The 10,130-nt window shown below is 39.8% G+C and overlaps 1 protein-coding gene across 7 annotated transcripts in view, besides 1 other annotated feature; it reads right to left on the bottom strand.

Moving 5' to 3' along the window:
* The window catches only part of PCGF5 (polycomb group ring finger 5), a 128,119-nt gene that overhangs the window by 106,786 nt on the left and 11,203 nt on the right, over positions 1-10,130 (bottom strand). The gene's annotated exons all lie outside the window — the stretch shown is intronic.
* Positions 5,047-5,280: a silencer, noted in NCBI's record as "fragment chr10:92932029-92932262 (GRCh37/hg19 assembly coordinates)". NCBI's record gives its function as "represses an EF-1alpha promoter that drives an FKBP-Casp9 reporter gene in an ReSE screen in K562 erythroleukemia cells {active_cell/tissue: K562}" and the evidence as "EXISTENCE:reporter gene assay evidence [ECO:0000049][PMID:32094911]".

The following is a 10,130-nucleotide window of genomic DNA, read 5'->3' as shown; positions in this document are numbered from 1 at the left end:
GGAGCCCACCGCAGCTCAAGGAGGCCTGTCTGCCTCTGTAGACTCCACCTCCGGGGGCAAGGCATAGCCAAACAAAAGGCAGCAGAAACCTCTGCAGACTTAAATGTCTCTGTCTGACAGCTTGGAAGACAGTAGTGGTTCTCCCAGCATGCAGCTTCAGATCTGAAAATGGACAGACTGCCTCCTCAAGTGGGTCCCTGACCCCCGAGTAGCCTAACTGGAAGGCATCCCCCAGTAGGGGCAGAGTGACGCCTCACACAGCCGGGTACCCCTCTGAGACAAAACTTCCAGAGGAACGATCAGGCAGCAACATTTGCTGTTCACCAATATTCGCTGTTCTGCAGCCTCTGCTGCTGATACCCAGGCAAACAGGGTCTGAAGTGGACCTCCAGCAAACTCCAACAGACCTGCAGCTGAGGGTCCTGACTGTTAGAAGGAAAACTAACAAACAGAAAGGACATCCACACCAAAACCCCATCTGTACGTCACCATCATCAAAGACCAAAGGTAGATAAAACCACAAAGATGGGGAAAAAACAGAGCAGAAAAACTGAAAATTCTAAAAATCAGGGCGCCTCTCCTCCTCCAAAGGAACACAGCTCCTCATCAGCAACGGAACAAAGCTGGACGGAGAAAGACTTTGATGAGTTGAGAGAAGAAGGCTTCAGACGATCAAACTTCTCCAAGCTAAAGGAGGAAGTTCAAACCTATGGCAAAGAAGTTAAAAACCTTGAGAAAAGATTAGATGAATGGCTAACTAGAATAACCAATGCAGAGAAGTCCTTAAAGGACCTGGTGGAGCTGAAAACCATGGCACAAGAACTACGTGACGAATGCACAAGCTTCAGTAGCTGATTCGATCAACTGGAAGAAAGGGTATCAGTGATGGAAGATCAAATGAATGAAATGAAGCGAGAAGTTTAGAGAAAAAAGAATGAAAAGAAATGAACAAGGCCTCCAAGAAATATGGGACTATGTGAAAATACCAAATCTATGTCTGATTGGTGTACCTGAAAGTGATAGGGAGAATGGAACCAAGTTGGAAAACACTCTGCAGGATATTATCCAGGAGAACGTCCCCAATCTAGCAAGGCAGGCCAACATTCAAATTCAGGAAATACAGAGAATGCCACAAAGATACTCCTTGAGAAGAGCAACTCCAAGACACATAATTGTCAGATTCACCAAACTTGAAATGAAGGAAAAAATGTTAAGGGCAGTCAGAGAGAAAGGTTGGGTTACCCACAAAGGGAAGCCCATCAGACTAACAGCTGATCTCTCGGCAGAAACTCTACAAGCCAGAAGAGAGTGGGGGCCAATATTCAACATTCTTAAAGAAAAGAATTTTCAACCCAGAATTTCATATCCAGCCAAACTAAGCTTCCTAAGTGAAGGAGAAATAAAACACTTTACAGACAAGCAAATGCCGAGAGATTTTTTCACCACCAGGCCTGCCCTACAAGAGCTCCTGAAGGAAGCACTAAACATGGAAAGGAACAACCGGTACCAGCCACTGCAAAAACATGCCAAATTGTAAAGACCGTGGAGGCTAGGAAGAAACTGCATCAACTAACGAGCAAAATAACCAGCTAACATCATAATGACAGGATCAAATTCACACATAACAATATTAACCTTAAATGTAAATGGGCTAAATGCTCCAATTAAAAGACACAGACTGGCAAACTGGATAAAGAGTCAAGACCCATCAGTGTGCTGTATTCAGGAAACCCATCTCACGTGCAGAGACACACATAGGCTCAAAATAAAGGGATGGAGGAAGATCTACCAAGCAAATGGAAAACAAAAAAAGGCAGGGGTTGCAATCCTAGTCTCTGATATTTTTATTTTCTTTTCCTTGCATTTCTGCTTTCTGTGATTTTTTTATTGTTGTTCATTTGTTTTGGGTTTTGCCTTTTTTATTGAAGGCCTTCTTCCAATGTCTCCTATTCATTTACATTTAAGAACAAAGCATCAAAAAGCTGACTGCAAGTTCCATGTTCACAGGGGTAGGGGGAAGAGGGAGGAAGGTTATAGGGTTGTTGAATGATGGGTTCACTGTAGAAAAAATGGGTGGTAAGTCATTTTTTTCATTGTCGGACCTCAAATGTCAGTTTCTGTAAGTCCTTCTAAGGCTGCTCATTTTACCCAGAGAAGAGTCCTCCAGTCCTGACTGAATTACCTATCCTAGGTTTGGGCTTGGGGAGGAGTATGGAGTCTCACTGTTTTGTGAGCCGAATTTCATTAAATTCCTTTTTCAGTCGATCATTGTACCTTTCTCTTCTGTTTTGTCTGGCATCCCTACATCCAGAACCTCTATTTTACTTTAATTTATTCAGAAAAAACATGTCCAGTCTCTGTTAAAGACTTCATCTTGTGGTATGGCATAGAAGAAGTGAAGTGAGGATCTAGTTCCCTTACAGATTTTCCACCTATCCCTCATTTTCAGGCTTATGCCCCACTCCAAAGCCTCTAATTCCAGAAACTTTCTGGAATTCTTAGGGATACAGTGACTGTTTCTTCCCAGCATCTCCTCTCAACCTCAGTTAAAGGCACTTAGGTATCAACTTCCTCTGTTATACTAAGGCAGTTGCCACAGGTCTATTTGCTTTTCATCTTCCAAAAATTTGCTGATGCCTCTTCTCTACTGTTGCCTCTTCTCATATTTACCATGCCTGTAATGGTGTTGCAGGAGAGACTGACAGTAAACACATGCGTTCCATCCACCAAATTCTAATCTGAAGTCCCATGAACTAAATCTCAAAACCAGAGATTGCCACCAAAGATGAATCCTTATCAATTTCTTTTAACAGCCATAATTTTTCTGTATTTTACAGACATGCCTGATTAGATAAGATACTTTCCCAATTAATGTTTATTATCCTTTATTTTTTGATCATAAAAAAATTCAAGAGAATCCTTCTAGATGCCACAAGACTTTTAATCTATTTTTAATCTATTAATTCATTAACTTAGTCTTAAAGCATGATAGGATTTATTACAGTAGATTATAATCAAACAAATAAAAATACAGTTTTTTGTTTTTTGAGACAGTCTCATTCTGTTGCCCATGCTGGAGTACAATGGTGTGATTTCAGCTCACTACAATCTCCACCTCCTGGGTTCAAGTGATTCTCGTGCCTCAGCCTCCCCAGTGGCTGGGATTACAGGCATGCACCGCCACACCTGTCTAATTTATGTATTTTTAGTAAAGATGGGGTTTCACCATGTTGGCCAGGCTGGTCTCCAACTCCTGGCCTCAAGTGATCCACCCACCTTAGCTTCCCAAAGTGATGGGATTACAGGCATGAGCCACTGTGCCCAGCCTAAAAATACAGACTTTTTTTTAATGCAATGAAGCTTTTTCACTGAATCCTTCATGCCACTTCATATCCAACCTACAGTGGCCCAAGTTGTAGCCCAATTACAGTTAAGTAGTAACTTGGGCCACTGTAGGTTAGATATGAAGTGGCATGAAGGATTCAGTGAAAAATCTTCATTGCATTAAAAAAATGCAGTGGCCCAAAGGTATTTACCTTGATAACTATCAAGCATTTTCCAAGAAGATCTTTGCTGCCCAAAATCATCATCAATACTGGAGTCTTAGCTGTTTTACTTCTAAAGACAGGCAAAGGAAGGAAATCAGAACTTTTAACAAATAATCAAGCATGAGGACTTTTCTGACATATGAGTATCACAATTTTTTTTACTTCCATCCAAAGGACACAAATCTGAAGATCCTTAGCCTGAAGAATTTAATCTTTAAGGCTGAAAACCTAGCACTTGTCCTAAATACTAAATTCACAGTTTAAGAAATAAGAAATAAATTACCAGAATAACTACTGAATAAAACACTAATATTATACTTTTGATCTTGCTCCACTTGAAAAAAGCGCATATTTTGGACTTGCCAAAACTTATAATTGCCTCCTGCTACTACTCATGGCTTCTGTGGGAAAAAAAAAAAAAAAAAGCCAACTCCCTCTAGCAGAAGAATAAAAGATTCCCATGGAAGGAAAAACAAATTAAATTGGTCTATTTCTTGAGCTGGGTGGTAGTTACATGGATGTTCACTTTTTAAAATTCATTTAACTGTGTATTTACATTTCAAAACTTTTCTGTATATGTGTTATATTTTACAATACAAAAACTTTTTTTAAGGTTAAAAGAGAAATAAAAAGGCAGAAATTTCATTTGTCATGAAACACACTGCCTTAATCTCACTTGGCCAGAATTATTACACACTATCACAGGGATAACAAGAGAAAAGTTGTCATAATTTACTTCAAGGGCCTAAACCAATCCCCCACCAAATTTCAATAGTCATCTTTGTTGTTTTATTCAAAACACTTTAAAAATTAAGCTCTTAAATATCACAGTGTGTGTTGCATCCCATATGGTAATAGTGATAACTTACCTTTGCATAACACTATTTACTTGCAAAGAGTTTTCACATTGAATACCTAGGAGATAGACCAGATGTAATTTTTTTCCTACACTACAGATGAGGAAACTTAGGCACTTATTATTGATTAGTAAGATCACAAATAGTGACAGAATCAGGACTAATTCCAATTTCCATACATCTAATTAAGGGTTCCTTTAACATTTTATGAGGACAAAGAACTTTCTACTTTTCAAAGTTCTGAGTTCAAAAACAGGATCTCAAAGCTAGTAGTCCCTGTCATGGCATTTGTGAGTTTCCTGACATTCCCAGTGAGGAAGGAGAGATCCACTAAATATAGCTGTGAAAGCAATAAACTAAGGACCTATGCGCAAACCTTTCTCAGTCATTTAATTCACTTCTAGTTGATATAACAATGTGTCTGCGGCCACAAAGGTTAGTTTAACTTGGGGGCAAACACAAAAGTTATGAGTACTCAATAACCTATGTTCAAGGGTAACCAACACCTTTTTGCCATTGAGGAAGTGTTTAAAGGAGAGAGATGACCCATCCATTCCTGGCTTCTTATATGACACCATACTATTCCACACAGATGTGGAGTCATTTATTTGGTTGGTGTATGACAGTCATGGGTCTACTTCACAGTATGGTGAGGAAGTGTTCTAAGATTTTTTTGAGTGGATACTTTAATTACTTCTTCTGCCCTAGAGGGCATTTTTTTTTTCTCTGAAGGGGAGTTTCATTCTGTGGCACAGGCTGGAGTGCAGTGGCACAATCCCAGCTTACTACAACCTCCGCCTCCTGGGTTCAAATGATTCTTCTGCTTCACCCTCCGGTGTAGCTGAGATTACAGGCACATGCCACCACGCCCAGCTAATTTCTGTATTTTTAATAGGGTTTCATCACGTTGGCCAGGCTGGTTTCAAACTCCTGACCTCAAGTGATCTGCCCACCTCCTCCTCCCAAAGTGCTGGGATTACAGGCATGAGCCACCGCGCCTGGCCCTAGAGGGCAATATTAACTGAGATTCAGAGATCCCAGTTATTTCGAGAGCTAGCTCTGCCACACGTCTGTAATCCTGGGCAAATCACATATATCTAAAAATGTTTAAAGGATTTTAAAGCTTCCTCATCTTTAAAATAAAGGAACAACTTCCTTATCTTTAAGGTACTTTCCATCTCTATGGAATAAATGCTCAGAAAAGCTTTAGGAGGTGTATTCCATAGTTTTAAAGACAGACACTGACACTGATACAAAATCATTTTGATATTTTGGCCTCATAGTTCCCGAAGACCAATGATCTTCTACCTCCATTGGCCTGTGTCACTCAACATCCCCAAGCTCAGCCACACTTTGAATTTTTGTCATTACTCAGAACTGATCCCTCCACAATAACCCTGAAAGTTCCTCATGCCCTTCACCACTACCCTCAGAACCTCCCTCCACATTCGTTTTTCCCTTTCCTTCACTCTTGCTGAATCAGCCATTACACACTCTAATCTCATATTCCCTGCTATTCTCCCAGCCCATCGACACTCTAGTGTCACTTGCCTTCCTACTCAACCAAGGGCCCATATGGAGTTGGCAGTTTCAGTGATACTCACAGCATCTCTACTTCCAATTTTCTGAGCATTGCTGGAGAAAGTCATGAAATACAGGAGTGATTCATCCTATCACTAGGCTAAGGCCTTCTAGCAACTTGTCAAGCCCTCATCACCTTTGGCTCCCCACTGCGCAAACCCAAAGTTTACCAAACCTTTTCAACTCTCCTCCACTTCAGCTTTACACTTTACTCTCCACTTACTTTTGGCAAATCAATATAAAAAAACCAACCCATTTCAAATGCAGCCACCTCCCAGCCATCAACTTTCCTCTTCAGAACTCAAAATTTCCTTTTGTTTTCATCTAACTTCTTTCTTCCTCCATGCCACATCTGTATTTTGTATTCTTCTACATTCTAGGGATTTGGACAAATGTATAATACCATGTATGCACTGTTATATCACAGAGTAGTTTCACTGCCCTAAAAATCGTCTGTGCTATACCTGTTCATCCCTCCTCCATTCTAACCCTTGGCAACCACTGATCTTTTTACTCTATGGTTTTGCTTGCCCAGAATGTTGTGTAGTTGGAATCACACAGTATGAAGCTTTTTCAGATTGGCTTCTTTGACTTAGGAATATGCATTTAAGCTTCCTCCATGTCTTTTCATGGCTTGATAGCTATTTATTTTTAGCACTAATATTCCATTACCTGGATGTACCACAGTTTATCCTGAATGACATCTTGGTTGCTTCCAAGTTTTGGCAATTATGAAGAAAGCTACTATAAACATCAGTGTGCAGGTTTCTGTGTGGCCACAAGTTTTCAACTCCTTTGGGTAAATACCAAAGGACACAACTGCTGGATTGTGCAGTAAGAGTATGTTTCGTTTTGTAAGAAACCACCAAGCTGTCTTCCAAAGTAGCTGTACTGTTTGACATTCCCACTAGTAATAAATGAGAGTTCCTGTTGCTCCACCTCCTTGTCAGCATTTGCTGTTGTCAGTGTTCTGAATTTTGGCCATTTCAATTGTGTATAGTGGTATATCATGGTTGTTTTGATTTGCATTTTCCTGATGACATATGATGTGCAGTATCTTTTCATATGCTTATTTGCCATCTGTGTATCTTCTCTGGTGAGGTGTCTGTTAAGGTCTTTGGTCCATTTTGTAAATGGGTTGCATATTCAGTTTTAAGAGTTCCTTGTATATTTTAGATAACAGACTATTATTTGATATATCTTTTGCAAATATTTTCTCCCAGTCTGTGGCTCATCTTTTTATTCTCTTGACAATGTCTTCTGCAGAGCAGAAATTTTTAAATTTTTATGAAGTCCAGCTTATCAATTCTTTCATGGCTGTGCCTATGATGTCATATCTAAAAAGTCATCACCAAACCCAAGGTCATCCAGATTTTCTCCTATGTTATCTTCTAGGAGTTTTACAGTTTTACATTCAGGTCTGTGATCCATTTTGAATTAATTTTTGGGACACGGGTGAAGTCTGTGTCTAGATTAACTTTTTTCTTTTTTTGCATATGGATGTCCAGTTGTTTCAGCCTCACCCATTTGCTGAAAAGACTATCCTTTCTCCACTGTATTACCTTTGCTTCTTTGTCAAAGATCACTTGACTGTATTTATTGGGGTCTATTTATGGGCTCTCTATTCTGTCCCATGATCCATTTGTTTAATTTTTTGCCAATACCACTGTCTTGATTACTATAGGTTTATAGCAAGCCTTGAAGGTAGGTAGTGTCAGTCCTCCAACTTTGTTCTTCTCCTTCAGTATTGTGCTATTTTAGGTCTTTTGCCTCTGCATATAAACTTTAGAGTCAGTTTGCCAATATCTACAAAATAACTTGCTGGGATTTTGATTGACATTACATTAAATATATGAATACAGTTGGGAAGTCCTGACAATATTGAGTCTTCCTACCTATGAAGATGGACTATATCTCCATTTACTTAATTCTTCTTTGATTTCTTTTATCAAAATTTGATAGTTTTCCTCACATAGATTTTATACATATTTTGTTAGATGTATATCTAAGTATTTTGTTTTGTCTGAGGTGCTAATGTAAATGAGATTGTTTTTAATTTCAAATTCCACTTGTTAATTCCTGGTATATAGAAAAGTGATGAACTTTCATATACTAGCCTTGTCTCTTACAACCCTGCTGTAATTGCTTATTAGTTCCAGGAGGTTTTTTTGTTGTTGTTGAGTCTTTCAGTTTTCTACATAAACAATCATGTCATCTTCAAACAAAGGTTTATTTCTTCCTTTCCAACCAGGCTATCTTTTATTTCTTTATATTTTGCCATATTTTCCCACAAGTAACTTCTTTATTTGCATCATGATTAGGGTAATCAATTCAATTATTCAAAAATAGGCTCTCTTTTAAGATTAAAATTGGGCATTATTATCCACTTTTATCCTGTATCCTGTATCCAGATATTATACCGTAAATAAACTGGTGTGAACTAGCACTGCCCTGGGCAATTGCATGTATGGTTACCCTATCCTATCTCTCCTGCTTGAGGAGAGCCTAGTGTATTAATTGCCCTCCTACGTCCTCCCTCGATCTTCATTCCTTTCCTCTGCACTTGCAACCACTCTACGCACAATGCACAAATGTTATCAAGCCTTCTTTTTTTTTTTTTTTTTTTTTTTTTTTTTCTGAGACGGAGTCTCACACTGTCGCCCAGGCTGGAGTCCAATGGTGCAATCTCAGCTCACTGCAACCTCCGCCTCCCAGATTCATGTGATTCTCCTGCCTCAGCAGCCCTAGTAGCTGAGATTACAGACACACACCACCACACTCGGCTAGTTTTTTGTATTTTTAGTAGAGACGGGGTTTCACTATGTTGGCCAGACTGGTCTGGAACTCTTGACCTCATGATCTGCCCACCTCGGCCTCCCAAAGTGCTGGGATTACAGGTGTGAGCCACCATGCCCTGCCGGTTTTGTTTTTAAGAAAGCTTCATTGACACTTTTCTTGCCTCAAGTCATTGCCTTCTCCCTATCCCTAGTCTCTGATTTTCACAGTCCAGTCACAATTTACATTTGCTTTCTCCATTTCCTTCCCAAGCCAGCATTCTTCAGGTAACTAGCGGACTTGTCCCCACTAATCCCCACTGCCCAACTGACTCTGTTCCTCAAAGGCTACTGACGATGGTCTCACTGACAAATCTAATGTCCTTTTCCCAGTCTTCAACTCAGCCCATCCTCTACCCTATCAGGATCCTTCGAAATCTCCTTCCTTATCTTTCTTTGCCCAATCTTTTCCTCATCCCCCTCCTGCTTCTTTCTTCTCAGCATCCTGTCTACCTCCTCCTATCTCCCTCAAGTCCACAAATACTGGCTTTTACAAGGCTCTATCCTAGCCTTTTATTCTGCTCACCACACTCTGAACTTTCTGACAGGTTCACCATCCCCCTCCATAAGGATGCCCCAAATCTTTCTGTATTTTTAATGGCTCTCATCCATCTAGATGGTCCATAGCCACATACAAGTTAACACATCCAAATCCAAACCAATAATCACCTCCATTAATTAGACAAATATTTATTGATTGCAGACTACTTGCAGGTGCTTTACTAGTGTCCCTTCCTATTTCAATCCTTGCCAACATCAACTTAAGTGACTGAGCTTCTGTCTTTGATTTCTTCCTCAACTCCTACATCCAATTGCCAACAAGTTCTGTTTTATTCACTTCTATAGTATCTTGCCCAACTCATCTGCCTCCACCCTAATTTAGGTTCTCATCATTTCTCTTCTGGAGAATATTTCAACAGCTTAAATGGACTACCTGTGGCTCCTGTGATGAAGATTAATCTCTTAAAGCATAGTCTTGATCACATCATTCCCCCATTTAAAATATTTCTGATACTTATCTACTGCCAACTAAACAGTCTCCTTAGCCCAGCATTCAAGATGCTGCACAATATAGTCCTAATTTCCCCTCCCCATGCAGCATTCTCTCCCATTATACTGCCTCCAGGCTCCTCAACCTCCAGTTTAACCACATTCTTCTCAAATCCTGGACATGCTCATATATCCTTACCTTCAAGTCTTAGCACAGGCTGGTCCCTACATTTTTGCCGATTGAAGTCGTCTCAATTTTTTAAGCCTTGCTCAAAATTCCCTAATTAAGTCTTACCTTTTTTCTGGCTAGAAATAGTCTT

The sequence above is a fragment of the Homo sapiens genome, chromosome 10 (genome assembly GCF_000001405.40).
Source record: "Homo sapiens chromosome 10, GRCh38.p14 Primary Assembly".
Classification (NCBI taxonomy): Eukaryota; Metazoa; Chordata; class Mammalia; order Primates; family Hominidae; genus Homo; species Homo sapiens.
The sequence above is the reverse complement of the archived record's forward strand: the minus strand, read 5'-3'. Positions and strand labels throughout refer to the sequence as shown.